The 21046-nt window shown below is 37.2% G+C and overlaps 1 long non-coding RNA gene across 1 annotated transcript in view, besides 3 other annotated features; it reads left to right on the plus strand.

Moving 5' to 3' along the window:
• The window catches only part of LOC101928012 (uncharacterized), an 85692-nt gene that overhangs the window by 12349 nt on the left and 52297 nt on the right, over window positions 1-21046 (plus strand). The window contains exons 3-5 of the long non-coding RNA NR_110158.1: window positions 550-637; window positions 1109-1193; window positions 5433-5489. This is a non-coding gene — a long non-coding RNA (uncharacterized LOC101928012). The remainder of the gene's footprint in view (window positions 1-549; window positions 638-1108; window positions 1194-5432; window positions 5490-21046) is intronic.
• Window positions 11584-12326: an enhancer, noted in NCBI's record as "NANOG-H3K27ac-H3K4me1 hESC enhancer chr7:112286368-112287110 (GRCh37/hg19 assembly coordinates)". NCBI's record gives its function as "activates a minimal SCP1, AML or CMV promoter by ChIP-STARR-seq in primed H9 embryonic stem cells {active_cell/tissue: H9 hESC(primed)}" and the evidence as "EXISTENCE:reporter gene assay evidence [ECO:0000049][PMID:30033119]".
• Window positions 12327-13067: an enhancer, noted in NCBI's record as "NANOG-H3K27ac-H3K4me1 hESC enhancer chr7:112287111-112287851 (GRCh37/hg19 assembly coordinates)". NCBI's record gives its function as "activates a minimal SCP1, AML or CMV promoter by ChIP-STARR-seq in primed H9 embryonic stem cells {active_cell/tissue: H9 hESC(primed)}" and the evidence as "EXISTENCE:reporter gene assay evidence [ECO:0000049][PMID:30033119]".
• Window positions 13359-13860: an enhancer, noted in NCBI's record as "H3K27ac hESC enhancer chr7:112288143-112288644 (GRCh37/hg19 assembly coordinates)". NCBI's record gives its function as "activates a minimal SCP1, AML or CMV promoter by ChIP-STARR-seq in primed H9 embryonic stem cells {active_cell/tissue: H9 hESC(primed)}" and the evidence as "EXISTENCE:reporter gene assay evidence [ECO:0000049][PMID:30033119]".

Below are 21046 nucleotides of genomic sequence, written 5' to 3' on the forward strand. Positions count from 1 at the left end.
TTTAAGAACTGAGTGCAATTATAGGAAACACATTTGGAATGATGGCATAAGTCAGCCCTAAAGGAATAGCAAAAGTCCTGGGAGTAATCTTGTAGAGTCCTGTCAACACAAATAAGGGTGCTGATTTAGAATAAAGAACCAATTATGCAAATACCATTATGGTATAAAAATATTATTAGATTTGTTGGGAAGAATTTTTATATATAACAGTTCTAGTTAATTATTAAATTTCTTTAAAAAATTATACCATTAAGAAAATAGCAGACAAAGAAAAAGATTTTAGTATGTATAATCTGAGCTAAAGATTACATACAAAGAGTACATTTAGTTATAAGGAAAAAAGCAGTATCCCAGTATAATTGGCAAACACATAAATACAATTTCATCAAAGAATAAAAAATAGAACTATTAAGGAAACAGTAAAAATGTTTGTGGTTGCTAGTAATCATAGAATGTAAATTAAGACAAAATAACTTATTTTTACATTCAAATTAATTAAAGGATATGATCTCGAAAATGTCATGAAAATGGTGCTTTCATATCTCGCAGGTGGGAAGACAAATTGATGCAACCCTCTTGAAAAGCAATCTGGCAATATGAACCAAGAGCCATGAAAAGGCTTATGCTATTATAATTAGTAAGTCAATTTATAGAAATTTGTTTTTTAAAAGTAAAGTAAAATAAGAGAAAACCCTTGTTGGGAAAGATGTTCATTGCAATATTGCCTACAACAGGAAAAATATTGGAAGAAAAAATCTAACAAATTGATAAAATCATATTAGGTAAATTAGGGTGGACCTCTGTGGTAGTCAATTATGCAACTGATAGAAATGATAATAATAAAAATCACATAGCAACATAGAAATGCCTTAATTAGAATCTTAAGTGGAAAATGAGCATATGAAATAGAATGCAGGCTATTGTCATTACATACAATTATGTAGAGAAGACTGAAAGGAAACATTTCAAAGGTTTGTAAGTTATTTAAAGATAGTGGGATTACAGATTTTTTTTTTTTACTTTCCATATATATTCTTCAATGTTGTTATAATGATTTAACAATGAAAATGTAATTGATAATGTATTATTGCTATTTCCTTAATTCCAGAATGGCTGTAATGTTGGCTGTAAATATGAAATTTTCTTTCACACACCAATGTTTTCAAGAATGGCATATTCACATGCAGTATGTGGTAAGTTGCATCATTTCTCTTTGAACTGGGCTGATAATTTTCAAGCTAACAAACCTGTTCCTCCATGAAAGTAAGTTGCCTTAAAGACCTTACTCTTACTATACATAAGCAGTAGTTAACAAAGAGCTATTATTTTGAAATGGCAAATGCTTCCTATACTCAGATGTTTTTATACATTCACAACTCACAAGCAATCAGCCTGACTAAAGCACTGGGATTTAAAAAATGCACTGAGACAGCATCTTCATATGCCTCGGAGACAATTCAACCCAGAGGTGCAAATGCAGAATACATGTTTATATGGAAAGGTCACTGATTTTTCACTACTTAGGAAAGCCATGCTATGTGTGCCAAGATAGATGTACCTAAATCTAAGGCTTTCATGCCTTGAAAGATAGATGGAAATCACTTTCTATCGTTCACCTCCTAGATTTTCTAAAACCTAACTTGGAGAGACATCCAGTTCTGTAGGTTAAGCAGAGAATAATGCAAATAGCTTGAGCTCAAACTACATCCAATTTTATGTAAGATTCTACATTTCTGAGCTTTTCTTCCTAAGCCTGCATCTCTTTTTCTGTTCCCCATCTTAATTAATGTTTCTGAATTCCAAACATTTTCCTAAGAGAAACACCTCAAAGTTATTCCAGACTCCTCTCTCTCCTTCATTCAGAGACTGTCAGCTTTTATCACCTGAACCTCTATAGTGCTTCTTGAGTTGAGTCTCTATTTCTACACTTGAAATATTATATTAGCTTTTTGATAGCTTCTTCCAGAGTTATCTTCTTCAAACAATATTTAAAAATATTTAGCTTTCAGCTGGGCACGGTGGCTCACACCTGTAATCCCAGCACTTTGGGAGGCTGAGGTGGGCAGATCACTTGAGGTCAGGAGTTCAAAACCAGCCTTGCCAACATGGTGAAACTCCATCTCCACCAAAAATACAAAAATTAGCCAGGCGTGGTGGTGTGCGCCTGTAATCCTGCTACTCGGGAGGCTGAGGCAGGAGAATCACTTGAACCTGGGAGGTGGAGGTTGCAGTGAGTTGAGATCACATCACTGCACTCCAGCCTGGGTGACAGAGGGAGGCTCTGTCTCAAAAAAATAATATGCATATTTTTTAGCTTTTATATTAAAAAATCTTTGGTGGCTCTTTACCGTCTGCAGGATAAAGTCCAATTTTCCTTTTTTTTTCTTTTTGTTACAACATTATCAATGTATTTAATACCACTGAACTCTACACTTAAACATGGTTAAGACACTAAATTTTGTTCTGTATATTTTACTACAATGAAAACATTGGAGAAAAAATAAGTAAACCTTTTTTAAAGTGGTTCAGTAACTTGTCTAAAATCACATAGCTATTAAGTACAGACATTATTATTCAAAAAATCCTTGTCATACTCCCAAACGTACTCCTTTTCTATCATAGTCATGGTTTTCATACTGTTTCATGAATGATGCAGTATTTTATTTGAATAAAGGTTCTTTACTGCCCTTTTGTATACTTTTAACATAAAAATGATTAATGCTCACTTTTTACATTACTCTTTCAGATTTAAACTATGGTCTTAGTTTTGTAAAATTTAGCGTATCTTCATGTGTTTGGAAATTGAAGGGTGCCTGAATGTTTCTTCTTAGTCATTGCTTCTGTAATCCATATATTTTTCTCCAAATAAAAGGTGATGTCTTAAACTGTGACTTAGCAAGCTACCTATGTATTTGCCTTGAGTGTAAATGGAGATAATAGGAAATACAGTCAATTTTTCTTCACAACTCTAATTTTAAAAAAAATCTCTAATTATTACTCATAAACATCCTTTGTAAAGTTTTTAAAATCACATATACACTTTGAGTGAATGATGCCAAACTTCAACAGTTAGCTGTTGTAATCTGGTGTAATCTTAGAATTCATCTAGTGCTTAATGGTAAATTTTTTCTCATGTCTGGGACTAACTCTCCTAAGCCTTGTCAATAAATCTGAGTCACTTAACTGTAGCAGTCTTTATCACACTCTGAGGATCTTGTGACTGTTGTCCCCCCAAAAGTTATCTTTTAAAAAAACATATTGGTCAGTGGTCACCCAATTTTTAACTCTTGTATTTCTATTTTTCACCTCTTCCTCATGCACTTCATACCTAGACACAGCCCATTGTTTTCTTTCCTTAATTCCAGGAGGCCTTTGCTTGATTCCATGCCTTTGTATGAAAATATTTTCTGTAGTACATGACAAACACATAACCATTATTTGCTCATATATGTCTCCCTTACTGCATTATGAGTCATTCAGAACAGAGACCATGTCTTGTTTATCACTGTATACCAAGCATCTGCAGAGGGTAAAGAGTCGAGATACATTAATTGAGTGAGTAAATAATTTAATTAATCCAGTAGTGTAGAGTGCAGATTAAGTTAATGTGATCCTCCAAAGAAACAACTCTTTGGTTTTCATAGATGGGGAGTTTTGGGTGGGGAGATGCTGGGAAGGGGTGAGTCTATAGACCTGGTCCAGGCTTGACCTGGAAGCAGGGCTCTGAATGTTCACAAGCAGTTCTAACTAAAGCTAGAAAGAAGAGAGCTAAACTGGGAACATGGTAGGGGCTGCATTCAAGATCAGGAATTAAATATTAAGTCAAGACTATAATTAAATATTATTAGAGGATCACAGACCCTGTTTCATATTTCCTGGAACCTCCCATAGATAGCTTTTCTTGCTGCGGATAGGCCAAATTTATATGCTCTGCTAAGAACCTGAAATAGAATCTGTATTATTGATAGAAGTAGAACCCAGTATTTTGACAGGCAGCTGGGTTGAGGGCAGGGCTGGCTTTTGTTCTTGAATATTAAGAAACTTAACAAACACATACATGCACTGACAACTAGAAGTGGGCCAAATGACATTTCAGTTAGAAGAAACAGAATGTACAAAGGCTCAGAGATGTGAAAGTCTGTACCATGTTTGGGGGATTTCCAATACTTTCATTTGGTGTGAAGATAGGATGTGAGGGACCAATAGAAGCGATTAGTGACTTTTGGGAAAGAGTGAAAGATCCAAGGTGACCCCCATGGTCCTTGCCTCCTGGTGTTCACATGTAATTCTCTCTCTGTAAGTGTGGCCAAAAACAGTGACTGCATTCGAATGAATAGAATATGGAAGGGTGATGATATATTACTCCTATGATTATACTACATTCTACAATACTCAATGTTGGTAGCAGACTCACTCCCTCTCTCCTCTTGCTGGTTTTGAGGAAGTAAGTTGCCATGCATTCTGTAGCCACAAGAAGCTGAATGCTGCCAACAACCATTTACAAGCAGGCAGGCAGATTCTACCCTAACTGAGCCTCCCTTCTGTAATCACCTCCATTTGAGTGCAGGCAGAACCTCTGACTTGATTCTAAACAATAAAATGTTACAAAGGTGATGGAATATGACTCCTATGAGTTCATTATATTATGTTAGTCTGTCTTACTAGCATACTGTCTCTCTCTCTCTCTGCCTTTTTATTTTTAAACAAGTAAGCCTTCGTGAACCTTGTAGCTACAAGAAAGTGAAAATGAATGCTTCCAATAACAACATGAGCAGGGAAATGTATCCTTCCCTAGTTGAGCTTCCAGATGAGAACCCAGCCTGGGCTAGGGTCTTTGTGCTGTAGTAATTTGTTACTCAGCAATAGATAACTTATACAATAGCAGGAAGCAAAAGCCCTTGATAATCTCCACTTTCATCTCCAAACAATCTATGCAAACAGTTAAAATATTGTTCAAGGGGGAGAGAATTATATTTTATCTTATCAAGCTTTGTCAAAGCCTTATCAAGGATTTTATTAATTTTCTATTACTTTGAAGAAGTAAAAAGATTCTTAAAGCCAGTTTTACAGACTAATCTTCTACTTTCTTCTATCTTTTGCCCTTTTATATCTGCTGATCTTTATCTCCAATATAAGCTATGTCCAAAGCCAACTCTCCTTGTCTAGTTTGAGGTGAAATGTCTCTTACTACCATCAACTGCTTTTAGATCACCCCAATAGCTCATTTTTATTTTTAAAAACCTTTTCTCACTTTATAAATATATGGTAACTTTTAAGTGAATTCCAACTATCTCTGAACATGCCACATAGGTGAATATTAATTAGAATATTATATGCATTTGTTATCTAGTTTCCCCTTGGAAATAAAATGTAAAGGAAAACTATGGAAAAATATACTTACTCTAGACATTCTCTGCATTGATTTATGACAGATGAAAGAAGCAGTAAAGGATGCTAACAAAGCTATTTCTTTGGACAATCTGAACCTGGTAGGTTTGATACATTTTAATTGCAAAATAAATGACAATTAATGGTGCACTACTGTGATTTTTTTCCTTTATCATTATGCTTGCTGTTTTTTACATGTTGTGATTACTTATCCCTATTTTTATGTATGTCTGTGCCATGGTATATCTCTCTGACTAGTTTTTAAGTCAGGAGGAATTGTGTATCATGGGATACAAAATGAAATTTAGAATGACTTAAACAAGTTAAAGAATGTTTGTAACCAATAACCTTATTCTATGGCTGACTCACTTCTGCACATCATCTCCATAAAATTTGCCTTATGGAAAAGAACTTCATTTTCAGAGAAATAGGCTGATAAAATGTGGCATTAATATTATTAACAACTTTCCATCAAATGATATACGCAGTTTACTGAAAAGAAAAGCAGAGCTAATGGTAATAGTTGTAAATGTGCGTAGAAGATAATTGTAGTTCTATAGCTGGAGAAGCCTGGAAGATACTATTCCAACTTTCTCATTTTGCAGATGAGGACACTAAAATCCAGAGAACTGATTGGTTAAAGTTATGTCTAAGTTTAAATCATGTAAATGGCTCCTCTGGGTTTCCAGTGCACAACCTGCATGGCTGTACAATTAGTACAACCCTGTTTGATTTCATTCCATTTCTTTGAAGCTTAAAGATTAACTACGTTTTTTTGGATGACCTTTGTGTTTTACAAGGTGTGCACTGTGTTAGAGCTCTTGTGTGGAATTCATGCAAAGAAACCAAAAGAGCCATTTATGATTTGAACTATGGTCTCAGACTAAATCCTTCTCACATATGTACTTTAATATTAAGAGGGGCCATCATCAAGTCTATTACAGATGTAAATGAGCAGTTTAATGCAAATAAAGATCATGAAAACGTAAATGCAATATTTGTGGGGTTTTTTAAAATTTATTTTTTCTAAAAAAAAAGGATACATGTGCAGAATGTACAGGTTTGTTACATAAGTATACATGTGTCATGGTGGTTTGCTGCACCTATTGACCTGTTCTCTAAGTTCCTTCCCTTCACCCCCCACCCCCCAACAGCCCTGGTGTGTGTTGTTCCCCTCTCTGCATCCATGTGTTCTCAATGTTCAACTCCCACTTACAAGTAAGAACATATGGTGTTCAGTTTTCTATTCCTGTGTTAGTTTGCTGAGGATAATGGCTTCTAGCTTCATCCATGTCCCTGCAAAGGACATGATCTCATTCCTTTTTACTGCTGCATAGTATTCCATGGTGTATATGTACCACATTTTCTTTATCCAGTCTATCACTGATGGGCATTTGGGTTGCTTCCATGTTTTGGTATTGTAAATAATGCTGCAATAAACATATGTGTTCATGTGTCTTTATAGTAGAATGATTTATATTCCTTTGGGTATATACCCAGTAATGGGATTGCTGAGTCAAATGGTATTTCTGGTTCTAGATCCTTAAGAATTCACCATACTGTCTTCCACAATGGTTGAAGTAATTTACATTCCCACCAACAGTGTAAAAGCATTCCTGTTTCTCCACAGCTTCCAGCATCTATTGTTTCCTGACTTTTTAATAATCACCATTCTGATTGGCATGAGATGGTATCTCATTGTGGTTTTGATTTGCATTTCTGTGATGATCAGCGATGTTGAGCATTTTTTTATGTATCTTAGCTGTGTAAATGTCTTTTTTTGTCTGTTCATATCCTTTGCCCACTTTTTGATGGTTTTTTTTTGTTTTTTCTTGTAAATATGTTTAAGTTCCTTGTAGATTCTAGATATTAGATCTTTGTCAGATGGGTAGATTGCAAAAATTTTCTCCTATTCTGGAGATTGCCTGTCCACCCTGATGATAGTTTCTTTTGCTGTGCAGAAGCTTTTTAGTTTGATTAGATCCCATTTCTCAATTTTGGCTTTCGTCACAATTTCTTTTCCCACTTTTGTCATGAAGTCTTTGCCCGTGCCTATGTCCTTAATGGTATTGCCTAGATTTTGTTCGAGGGTTTTTATGGTTTGGTGTTTTACATTTAAGTGTTTAATCCATCTTGAGTTAATTTTTGTATAAGGTGTAAAAAGGGGTCCAGTTTGTTTTCTGCATATGGCTAGCCAGTTTTCTCAGCACCATTTACTGAATAGGAGATCCTTTCCTCATTGCTTGTTTTTGGTAGGTTTGCTGAAGATCAGATGGTTGTAGATGTGTGGTGTTATTTCTGAGGTCTTTGTTCTGCTCCATTGGTCTATATGTGTGTTTTGGTACCAGTACCATGCTGTTTTGGTTACCGTAGCCTTGTAGTATAGTTTGAAGTCAGGTAACGTGATGCCTCCAGCTTTGTTCTCTTTGCTTAGGATTGTCTAGGCTATGCAGGCTCTTTTTTTGGTTCCATATGAAATTTAAAATAGTTTTTTTCTAATTCTGTGGAGAATGTCAATGGTAGTTTGATGGGAATAGCACTGAATCTATAAATCACTTTTGGCAGTATGACCATTATCACGACATGGATTCTTCCTATCCGTGAGCATGGAATGTTTTTCCATTTGTTTGTGTCCTCTCTTATTTCCTTGAGCAGTGGTTTGTAGTTCTCCTTGAAGAGGTCCTTAATATGCCTTGTTAGCTGTACTCCTAGGTCTTTTATTTTCTTTGTAGTAATTGTGAATGGGAGTTCACTCATGATTTGGCTCTCTGCTTGCCTATTCTTGGTGTAAAGGAATGCTTGTGATTTTGCACATTGATTTTGTATCCTGAAACTTTGCTGAAGTTGCTTATCAGTTCAAGAAGTTTTTGGACTGAGATGATGGGATTTTCTAAATAGACCATCATGTCATCTGCAAACAGAGACAAGTTGACTTCCTGTCTTCCTATTTGAATACCCCTTATTTCTTTCTCTTGACTGATTGCCCTGGACAGAACTTTCAATACTATGTTGAATTGGAGTGGTGAGGGAGGGCATCCTTGTCTTGTGCCAGTTTTCAAAGGGAATGCTTCCAGTTTTTGCCCATTCAATATGATTTTGGCTGTGGGTTTGTCATAGATAGCTCTTGTTATTTTAAGATATGTTCCATCAATCCCTAGTTATTGAGAGTTTTTAATATGAAGTTATGTTGAATTTTATCAAAGGCCATTTCTGCATCCATTGAGATAATTATGTGGTTTTTGTTGTTGGTTCTGTTTATGTGATGGATTACTTTATTGATTTGTGTATGTTGAACCAGCCTTGCATCCCAGGGATGAACCTGAGTTGATGATGGTGGTTAAGGTTTTTGATGTGCTGCTGGATTCGGTTTGCCAGTATTTTACTGAAGATTTTTGTGTCGATGTTCATGAGCGATATTGGCATGAAGTTTTCTTTTTTTGTTGTGTCTCTTCCCAGTTTTGGTATCAGGATGATGCTCGCTACATAAGATGAGTTAGGGAGGAGTCCCTCCTTTTCAATTGTTTGGAGTAGTTTCAGAAGGAATGGTACCAGCTCCTCTTTGTGTTTCTGGTAGAATTCAGCTGTGAATCTGTGTGGTCCTGGGCTTTTCTCAGTTGATAGGTTATTAATTACTGCCTCAATTTCAGAGCTTGTTATTGGTCTATTTAGGGATTCAACTTCTTCCTGGTTTAATCTTAGTAGGGTGTATGCATCCAGGAGTTTATCCATTTCTTTTAGACTATTTAGTTTATTTGCATAGAGGTGTTTATAGTATTCTCTGATGGTAGTTTGTGTTTCTGTGGGGTCAGTGGTGATATCCCCTTTATCATTTTTTATTGTGTGTATTTGATTCTTTTCTCTTTTCTTCTTTATTTGTCTAGCTAGCAGTCTATCTATTTTGTTAGTGTTTTCAAAAAACCAGCTCCTGGATTCATTGACTTTTTGAAGGGTTTTTTTGTGTCTCTATCTCCTTCAATTCTTCTCTGATCTTAGTTATTTCTTGTCTCCTGCTAGCTTTTGGATTAGTTTGCTCTTGCCTCTCTCGCTCTTTTAATTATGATGTTAGGATGTCAATATGAGATCCTTCTAGCTTTCTGATATGGGTATTTATTGCTATACATTTCCCTCTTAACACTGCTTTAGCTGTGTCCCAGAAATTCTGGTATGTTGTCTCTTTGTTCTCACTGGTTTCAAAGAACTTCTTGATGTCTGCCTTAATTTCATTATTTATGCAGGAGTCATTCAGGAGCAAGTTGTTCAATTTCCTTGTAATTGTGTGGTTTTGAGTGAGTTTCTTAATCCTGAGTTCTAATTTGATTGCACCATGGTCTGAGAGACTGTTATGATTTCAGTTTTTTTTGCATTTTCTGAGGAGTGTTTTACTTCCAATTATGTGGTCAATTTTAGAATAAGTGCCATGTGGCATTGAGAAGAATGTATATTCTGTTGATTTTAGGTAGAGAGTTCTATAGTCGTTTAATAGGCCCACTTGATCCAGAGGGGAGTTCAAGTTCTGAATATCCTTGTTAATTTTCTGTCTCATTGATGTGTCTAATAGTGACAGTGGGTTGCTAAAGTCTTCCACTATTATTGTGTGTGAGTCTAAGTCTCTTTGTAAATCTCTAGAACTTGTTTTATGAATCTGAGTGCTCCTGTATTGGGTGCATATATATTTAGAATAGTTAGCTCTTTTGTCAAATTTTACCCTTTACCATTATGTAATGCCCTTCTTTGTCTTTTTTGATCATTGATGGTTTAAAGTCTGTTTTGTTAGAGACTAGGATTGCAACCCATGCTTTTTTTTTTTTTTTTGCTTTCCATTTGCTTGGTAAATTTTCCTCCATCCCTTTATTTTGAGCCTGTATGTGTCTTTGCACATAAGATGGGTCTCTTGAATAAAGCACAGCGATGGGTCTTGACTCCTTATCCAATTTGCCAGTCTGTGTCTTTTAATTGGGACATTTAGTCCATACACATTTGAGGTTAGTTGTTATGTTTGAATTTGATCCTGTCATTGTGATGCTAGCTGGTTATTTTGCACACTAGTTGATGCAGTTTTTTTTTTGTAGTATCATTGGTCTTTATATTTTGGTGTGTTTTTGCAGGGCTAGAACCAGTTTTTCCTTTCCATATTTAGTGTTTCTTTCAGGACCTCTTGCAGGGAAGGCCTGCTGGTAATGAAATCCCTGAGCATTTGCTTGTCTGTAAAGGATTTTATTTCTCCTTCTCTTATGAAGCTTAGTTTGGCTGGATATGGAATTCTGTGTTGAAAATTCTTTAAGAATGTTGAATATTGGCCCCCAATCTCTTTTGGCTTGTAGGGTTTCAGCTGAGAGGTCCACTGTTAGTCTGATGGACTTCCATTTGTAGGTGGCCTGGCCTTTCTCTGTGGCTGCCCTTCACAACTTTTCCTTCATTTCAACCTTGGAGAATCTGATGATTATGTGTCTTGGGGTTGATCTTCTCATGGAGTATCTTAATGGTGTTTTCTGTATTTCCTGAATTTGCATGTTGGCCTGTCTTGCTAGGTTGGGGAAGTTCTCCTGGATAATATCCTGAAGTGTGTTTTTCAGCTTGTTTCCATTCTCCCTGTCTCTTTCTGGTACTCTAATCAATTGTAGGTTCTGTGTTTTTATGAAGTCTCATATCTCTTGGGGGCTTTGTTTGTTGCTTTCATTCTTTTTTTCTGTATTCTTGTCTGCATGTCTTATTTCAGTAAGGTGGTCTTCAAACTCGGATATCCTTTCTTTTGCTTGGTTGATTTGGCTGTTGATACTTGTGTATGCTTCATGAAGTTCTCTTGCTGTATTTTTCAGCTCCATCAGGTCATTTTTGTTTCTCTCTAAACTGGTTTTTCTAGTCAGCAATTCCTCTAACTTTTTATCAGTTTCTTAGCTTGTTTGGAGTGGGTTAGAACATGCTCCTTTAGCTCATCGTAGTTTTTTTACTACCCATCTTCAGAAGCCTACTTCTATCAATTCATCCATCTGATTTCCCATCCAATTCTGTGCCCTGATGGAGAGACATTGCTATCATTTGGAGGAGAAGAAGCACTCTGGCCTTTTGGGTTTTCAGCATTTTTTCATTGATTCTTTCTCATCTTTGTGAGTTTGTCTAGTTTCAGTCTTTAAGGCTGCTGACCCTTGGATGGGGATTTTGTGGGGGCCTTTTTGTTGTTGTTGTTGATGCTGTTGTTGTTGGTTTCTGCTTGTTTGTTTTTCTTTCAGTAGTCTGGTCCTTCTTCGTAGGCCTGCTGCTATTTGCTGGGCATTCACTTCAGGCCCTATTCATCTGATTTGCTCCTGTGCCTGAAGATGTCACTCAAGGAGACTGGAGAGCAGCAAAGATGGGTGTCTCCTCCTTCTGGGACCTCTGACCTTGAGGGGCACCAACATGATGCTAGTAGGATCACTCCTGTATAGGGTGTCTGACAACCCCTGTTGGAGGGTCTCAGCCAGTTGGGTGGCATGGGGAGCAGGACCCATTTAATGAAGCAATTTTTCCCTTGGTGGAGAAGGTGTGTTTCTCAGGGGAAACCCACTCATCTAGGCTGCCTGGATTCCTTAGAATTAACAGGAGAGGCTAAGTCTGCTGGTCCACAGAGACTGTGGCTACCCTGCCCCCGACCAGGGGCTTAGGCCCAGGGAGATTTGAATTCTGTCCCTAGCCTCTGGCTGGAGTTATTAGAGATCCAGCAGGGAAGCCCCACCCACTGAGGAAGGATGGTTCAGGGTTAGGCTTTAAGAGGCCCTCTGGCCACAGACTGTCACAGCTGGTGTGTTGGGCTGTGGGGACAAGTCTTGGGACCAAGCCGTCCAGCCTCCCTGGCTCCAGCAGGGGAAAAGTGCAGCCTGGAGCTATAGAAACAGATGTCGCCCTTTCCCCTCCCAGGGAGCTGAGCGTGTTAGGCAGTTGTGAGTCCCGGTGCTGGCTGTTGCCCCTCCCCCAAGGTACTCAAAAGGCTTAGACAGCAGACAACCACAGCTGGTGCTAGTCACCCCTCCCCCAGGAGTTTGGTAGGCCTAAGCAGATTCCAGCTGAGAGGCTGTAGGAATCTGCACGTCTGGGCTGGGGGACGCTAGGCCCTGGTGGCGTGGGTCCACAAGTGGGATCTTCCAATCCGTGGGTTGCATAGTTCCGTGGAAAAAGCACAGTTTCCCCGGTTAGGTAGCGTGATCACTCATTGCCTCCCTTGGCTGTGGGGTGTGGGCTTCCCTGCCCCATGTGGCTCTCAGGTGGGCTGCCGCACCACACTGCTCTTCCTTCTCTCTGTGGCTCATGCTAGCCTTCTAGTCAAAAAAAAATTTTTTTTTTAAACGGAGTCTCGCTCTGTTGCCAGGCTGGAGTGCAGTGGCACGATCTTAGCTCACTGCAACCTCTGCCTCCTGGGGTCAAACGATTCTCCTGTCTCAGCCTCCTGAGTAGCTGGGACTACAGGCATGTGCCACCACCCCCAGCTAATTTTTATATTTTTAGTAGAGATGGGGTTCCACCATGTTGGCCAGGATAGTCTCAATCTCTTGACCTTGTGATCTCCCCGCCTCGGCCTCCCGAAGTAGTCAATTTTGATGAAAGAACCTGGATACCTTGGTTGCCAGTGAAGGATTCACATGCTTGTTGTGATTTTATTCAATGGAAGCCTCCAAATGCCGTGGCTTCTATTGGCCATTTTGGCACCACCCCCTAAATGCAATTTTCAATTTTCTTCTGCTGGCAGAAATATATAAAGAGCATGATCTCTATGATTTTTTCAGCTCAGGCTGATCTTTGTCCACTTATCGTAGGGAAGATGGGCTCCTCTTAGGTGTTGTTTTTCTCACAGATTGCCACACACCCCAGATTGTTCTTACCAAGATGAGGGTGATCGTTTTTTCAGAATTTTGTCTGTGTTAACAAGATGGCAAAATAGAAGGTCACTGACTTTAGTTTCTTTCACAGAAATACTGATTGGCAACTATCCACAGACAAGAATGCCTTTGTGAAAAATCCCAGAACCCAAGACGTAGTGGGGAGAAGGGACAGGGGAGGTGAGGCTGAAGCAGTGCCTTGGAGTACAAAAACTGAGAAAAGTCACCTTACAAGTCACATTTTGACGATGTTGCCCCTCTCACAGCCTGGCACAGTGCCACTCCAAGAGGGACCCTTCGGGCTTACGGTTTCTCCAGTGAGAAAAAGGGAGCTTGAGGTAGTCAGCTTCCCTAGCATTTCAGAGTGCTCCCCAGGAGGCCCACTTGTATCTGACTTCATGAGGAACACTGAGGGAATTGGCACGGCTAGAGCACAAGGGGTGGGCTAGGTACAAAAGAAGGGAGGCAGAGCTTATAGCTACCAGCAGACAAATCTTAGTGCTGGCACTAGATCCCTGCCAGCAGCCTTGACTAACCAGAGAGACCAGCCACTGGCTCTGCCCACCCACAGAACTAAGTCAGCTGCCCCAACTGGCCAACAAGGATGGTCAGAGTTCTGCCCAGCTGAGATTGCTGGTTAGTAGTCTGGCCTAGCCACAGAGCCCAGACTATAACCACACCAACTAGCAGAGCACAGCCTATAGCCCTGCCTGACAAAGAAGCCTGGCCAGTGACCCTTCCCATCCAAGGAACACAGTTAGCAGCCCTACCTAGGCAAGGGACCCAACCAGTTATGTTGCTCAACTTTGAGGCACAGACTATGGCCATGCCCAATTGCAGTGTCCAGCCAGTGGCTCTGCTTGACCACAGAGCATAGCTAATAGACTCACCTGACCAAGGACCCCAGCCAATAACCCCCACTTGACCTCATAACACAGGCACTGGCCCTGCCCAATCAGAGACTCTGGCAGCAAGCCTCATCTATCCATGATTACTACCAGATGGCCTATCCCACTCCAGGCTGGGATGACTCATGAAGGTCTTTTCCGAATGAAGTAAACTTATAAAGTCTGGAAGAGGGAACAGCTTAGTCAAATGCATAGACACCAATGCAAGGATGCAAGCATCACGAAGAATCAGAGGAACATGACATTACCAAAGAAAACAAATAAAGCTTCAATAACTGACTCTAAAGAAATAAGTATCTATAAACTGACTGGCAAAGAATTCAGAATAACCCTATTAAAGAAGTTTGTAACTACAAGAAGACACAGATAGGCAACTAAACAAAATTAGGAAAACAATACATGAACAAATGAAATGTTCAACAAAGAAAGCTGAAGAACGGAATTCTTCAACTAAAAAGTTCAATAAAGAGCTGATAGACTCAGGCAAGCAGAAGAAAGAATCAGTGAACTTGAAGACATCCTTTGAAATTATCCAGAGGAGTAAAAAATCAAAAAAATGAAAAACAGTGAAGAAACCCTATAGGGTTTATAGGACAGTATAAGCAAAACATATACATATAATGGGAGTCCTAGAATGGGAGAGAGAATGGGAAGAAAGTCTATTTTAAAGAATAATGACTGTAAACTTCCCAAATTTGGGGAGAGAAATGGACATTGAGATTCATTAGACCCAAAGGTTCTCAAATAGTTTGATCTCAAAGAGGTATACAGCAAGTAAATTAGCAGAATTCAAAGGCAAAGAGAGAATTTTGAAAGTACCAAGAGAAAAGTGACTCATCACATATGAGGGAGTCTCCATCAGATTGTCACTGGATTACTCATCAGAAACCTTGCAGGCCAGGAGAGAGTAGGGTCATATATTAAAAATATTGAAAGCAGTAAAACTGCCAAGAATACTATACCCAGGAAAGTTGTCCTTGAGAAATGAAGGAAAGATAAAGACTTTCCCAAACAAAAGCTGTGGGGGTTTATTACTACTAGACCTGCCTTACAAGAAATGCTAAAGGGAGTTAAGGGAGTTTTTCAATCTGAAATGAAATGATTATAATTAACAATGTAAAAATATATGAATGTATAAAACTCACTGGGAAAGGTAAATACAGTCAGCCCTCTATATCTTTGGGTTTCACATCTGTCAAGTCAACCAACCACAGATTTAAAATATTAGAAAAAAATCACATCAGTATTGAAGATGTGCAGACATTTTTCTTGTCATTCTTCCCTAGACAATACAGTGTAACAACTATTTATATAGTATTTACACTTTATTAGGTATTATAGGTAAATTAGAGATGATTTAACGTTGGAAAATGTGCATAGGTTATATGCAAATATTATGCCACTTTTTATCAGGGATTTGAGCATCTGAAAATTTTGGTATCCACAGAAAGTTCTGGAATCAATCCACCACAAACAGTGAGGGGCAAGTGTATATAGTTAAATTCTGAATTTTCTAATATTGAAATAGTGTTATGTAAATCACTTTCAACTCTAGTGTAAAAGTTTAAAGACAAATATTAAAAGTAACTTTAACTGCAATAATTTGTTAATGAATACACAATATTAAACAGATGTAAATTGTAACATTAATAACCTTAAATGTGACTTGGTGAGGAGAATTAAAAGTATAGAGTTTTTTTTGATGTGATTCAACCTATTATGAGCTTAAAATAAAATGTTATAACTGTAAACTATTTTTAAATAAGCCTCATGATAGCCACAAAGGAAATATGTGTAGTTGATACAGAAAAAATTAAGATAAAGGAATCCAAGCATACCACCATAAAAAGTCATAAAATCACAAAGGAAAACAGCAAAAGAAGAAGGGAAGAGAGGAACTCCAAAGCAGAAAACAACAAAATGGCAGTAGTAAGTCCTTGCCTATTGATAATTAAATATAAGTGGATTAAGTTATCTAATCAAGAAACATAGAGTGGCCAAATGGATTTTAAAAACCAAGATCCAACTATGCTGCATATAGGAGACTCACTTTCAGTTTAAAGACATGCATAGGTCTCAAGTGAGAAATAATTTGGCAAATAAAAATTAAAAAATAAAAAAAAGACACACATAAGCTGGAAGTGAAGGAATGGAAAATAATATCCCATGCATATGGTAATCTAAAGAAAGTTGGGGTGGCTACTTAGACAAAATAGACTTTAAGTCAAGAACTGTGACAAGAGACAAAGAGGGCCATTATACAATGACAAGGGGGTCATGTCGTCAAGAGGATATAACAATTGTAAATATATATGTACCCAAAACTGGAGTACCTAAATATATAAAGGAAATATTAACAGAACTGGAGGGAGGAGAAATAGATAGTAATACAATAGTGGTAGGGGACTTCAATACCCACCTTCCACAATGACAGCAAATCAGTAAGGGAACAGAAGAGTTAAACAATGTTGTAGACCAAGTGGCTCTAACAGACAAATACAGAACATTCTATCCAAAAGCAGCAGATTACATATTATCCAAGTAAAGATCAAATGTTAGGACTTAAAACAAGTCTTAAAATTTTTTAAGAAGATTGCAATCATATCAAGTATCTTTTCTGACCACAATGGTATAAAACTGGAAATCAATGACAGGAGAAAAATGGAAAACCACAAATATGTGGAAATTATGCAACACATTTCTGAACAACCAATGGGAAAAAGAAGAAACCAAAAAGGAAATTTAAAAAATATCTTGAGACAAATAAAATGGAAACACAACATACTAAAACTTATGGGATGCAGCAAAACCAGTTCTTAATATAGCAATAAATGCCTATGTCAAGAAAAATGAAAGATCTCAAATAACCTAACTTTAAACATCAAGGAAGAAGAAGAAGAAATCTCAAACTTAGCCGAATAAACAAAGTAATAAAGATAAGAACAAAACACATGAAATACAGATTAGAAAGACAATATAAAAGATTAACAAAATGAAGACTTTGATTTTTGAAAAGACAAACAAAATTGGCAAATTTAGCTAGATAACCAAGAAATAAAGAGAGGATTGAAATCAAATTATGAATGAAAGAGAAGGCATTACAACTGATACCATCCAACCACAAAGGGTCATAAGAGATTACTATGAACAATTATATACCAACAAATTGGGTAACCTTTTCTAGAAATATACGACCTACCAAGACTGACTCATAAAGAAATAGAAAATCTAAACACACCAGTAAAGAGTAAGGAGATTGAATTGTTAATTAAAAACTACCCAACAAAGAAGAGAACAGGACCGATGGTATCACTGATGGATTCCACCAAATATTTAATGAGCAGTTAATGCCAATTCTTTTCAAACTTCCAAAAAATTAAAGAGGAGGAAACACTTCCAAACCTGTTCAATGAGGCCGGCATTACCCCAACACCAAAGCCAGATATGGATACTACAAGGAAAGGAAATTACAGGCCAATATCCCTGATGAAAATAGATATAAAAATTCTCAACCAAATACTAGCAAACAAAATACTAGCAAAATTCAACAATACATTAAAAGGAGCATACACCATGATCAAGTGGAATTTATTCCAGGCATGTAAGGGTGGCATGATATACCAAATCAATAAGTATGATACAACACTTTAACAAAATGGAGGATAAAAATCATGTGATCATTTCAGTAGGTGCAAAAAAAGCATTTGACAAAATTCAACGTTCTTTCATTGTAAAAATTTTAAAAATTGGGTATAGAAGCAATATACCTAAACATGATAAAGACCATATATAACAGGCACACAGCTAACATCATACTCAATGTTGAAAAGCTGAAAATTTTTCTCTAAGACTAGGGGCAAGTCAGGATGCCCACTCTTGCTCCTTCTATTCAACATAGTACTGAAAGTCCTAGCCATTGCAAGAGGCAAGAAAAAGAAATAAAAGGCAACCACATCAAATAGGGAAAAGTTAAATTGCCTCTGATTGCAGATGACATGATCTTATCTATATAAAACCCTAATGGCTCCACCAAAGAAAACTATAGAAATAAGAAATTTAGTAAAGCTACAGGGTACAAAATCAATAAAAATCAGTTGCATGTCTACACACTATCTGAAAAAGAAAAACTATATCATTTACAATAACATCAAAATCAAAAACAACAAAATCCTTATGAATAAATTTAACCAAGGGGTGAAAGATCTGTATATTGAAAACTATGTGATGTTGATGATAGAAATTGAAGAAGACACCAATAAATGGAAAAACATCCAATGTTTTGGAAGAACCCCTATCAAAATTCCAATTCCACTTTTCACAGAAATAGAAAAAACAATCCTAAAACTCATATGGAACTACAAAAGACCCCAAATAGCCAAAGCAATCTTGAGAGAGAAGAGCAAAGTTGGAGGCATCAGACATTCTGATTTTAAGTTATTTTACAAAGCTATAGTAATAAAAATGGTATGGTACTGGCATAAAATCAGAAATGCTGACCAATGCAACAGAATAGAGAGACCAGAAATGAACCCATGCCTATGCAGTCAACTAATATTTTACAAGGGTATCAAGAACATACATTGCAGAAAGAATAATCTCTTCAATAAATGATGTTGGGAAAACTGGATATCTATATGCAAAAAGAAATGAACTTGACCTCTATCTTATATCACACAAAAAAATTAACTTGAAATGAATTAAAGACTTAAATATCAAACCCAAACCAAAAACTTCTAGAAGAAAACATAGGGAAAATATTCTCTGTCCTTGGTCTTAGCAATGATTTGTTTGGATATGACACCAAAAGCACAGACCACAAGAGAAAAAATAAACAAGTTGATCTACATCAAACCAAACAGCTTCTGTTTGATAAAGGAAACAACTAAATGAAAAGGTACCCTAGGGAATGGGAGAAAATATTTGCAAACCATATATCTGATAAGAGGCTAATATCCAAAATACAAAAGGAACTCATACAATATAATAGCAAACACAAACAATCTGATTTTAAAATGGGAAAAAGACCTGAAGATATACAAATGGCCAATAGGTATATGAAAAGATGCTCAGTATTACTAATTATCAGGGAAATGCAAATCAAACCACAATGAGATATTGCCTCAGACCTGTTAGAGTGGCCGTTATAAAAAATACAAGGGATACAAAGGATAACAGATGTTTATGAAGATGTGGTGAAATGGGAACCCTTGTACACTGTTGGTGGGAATGTAAATTAGTGCAGCCATTATAAAAAACAGTATGAAGTTTCCTCAAAAAATTAAAAATAAACCTATCATTCATTTGATCCAGCAATCTCATCTCTGGATATATATCTGAAGGAAATATAAGTAGTATTTGGAAGAGATATCTGCATCCCTATGTTCATTGTAGCATTAACCACAATAGCCAAGACATGGAATCAATCTAAGTATCCACTGATGAATGAATAGACAAATAAAATTTGTATATATGTATACACACACACACACACACACACACACACACACACTTACAAAGGAAAACTCTTCAACCTTGGTTCCCCCCAAAAAAGGGACATTCTGTCATTTACAGCAAAGTGGATGGACCTGGAAGATATGCTAAGTGAAATAAGCCAGACATATTAGAGGCTTTTGGCCCATTGTCACTTTGCATTTGCCTAGTGTATAACTGAGGACAGGCAGAACATATATCCTACTAATTTGCTTATAGCATATTTGATAGAGTTAATTTCAGCACACAGAACAATCTTTTTGTAGAAAGTGGATTCTCAGGGTGTTGTCAAGTCACCATAGTTTTCCCAGAGACCTCATCTCCATTAAAAAGAAAAAATAATAGGCATGGTAGCACATGCCTGTAGTCCTAGCTACTCAGAAGGCTGAGATGGGAGGATAATTTCAGCCCAAGAGTTCAAGGTTGCAGTGAGCTGTGATTACACCACTGCACTCCAACCTGGGCCACAGAGAAGAAAAGAGGTTACTTGGCTGAAGGTTCTGAAGGCTGTACAAGAAGCATGGTGCCAGCATCTGTTTCTGGTGAGGGCTTCAGGCTGCTTCCACTCATGACAGAAGGGACAGAGGAGCCAGCATGTTTGGAGATCACATGACAAGAGGAAGCAAGAGGCGTGGGGAGGTGCCAGGTTCTTTTTAACAACCATCTCTTGCGGGAACTAATAGAATGAAAACTCACTCCTTATGACGAGGAAGGCAGTGAGTCATTCATGAGGGATTCGCCCCCAGTGACCCAAACACCTTCCAAAAGGGATTCACTTCCAACAGTAGGGAACAAATTTCAACATAAGGTTTGTGAGACAAACATGAAAACTATAGCCAATATATTCTGCAGAATTTGGTGATTATTGATAATGGAGGTGGAAGTTCAGTGAACTCTTTACATTTATTCCCCTACAGATTGGAGGAACAGATTGCTGATTGTTTTTTAAAAGCAAAATGTTTTTGAAATTTTGCCTGAAATGCAAATGAAAGTTTTGCATGAAATTGTTGGGCTTCAGAGAGAAAAAAAAACATAAATATTTGGCAACCTAAGTGTCTAATTTTGTGTGGTTAGAAATCTTTTAATGCCTCCTTAGTATGCACTTCAAATGAAAGATTCTCACCAACTATTCTAATGCAATACTCTCATTGAATTTAACAGCTGTCTTTTCTGCTTTTTAGCTACTAATTTATTTTCCCCTTGCTCTTTAAAAATGAATGTTTATGTACAAATTACTATGTATATATGCTAAGATGTAGGCATAAATGGTATAGTCTAGAGTTGTTAAAATGTGTTTTACCTAAATAGTTGTTCCAAGGAAGAAGTTAACTATAATATTTATTAAACCAGAAATTTGCTGTGCTTACTTTAGCTAATATCTTTTCAAGATTGTATTCCTAATGTCAAGAGTTT

The sequence above is a fragment of the Homo sapiens genome, chromosome 7 (assembly GCF_000001405.40).
Source record: "Homo sapiens chromosome 7, GRCh38.p14 Primary Assembly".
In the NCBI taxonomy this organism is placed as follows: Eukaryota; Metazoa; Chordata; class Mammalia; order Primates; family Hominidae; genus Homo; species Homo sapiens.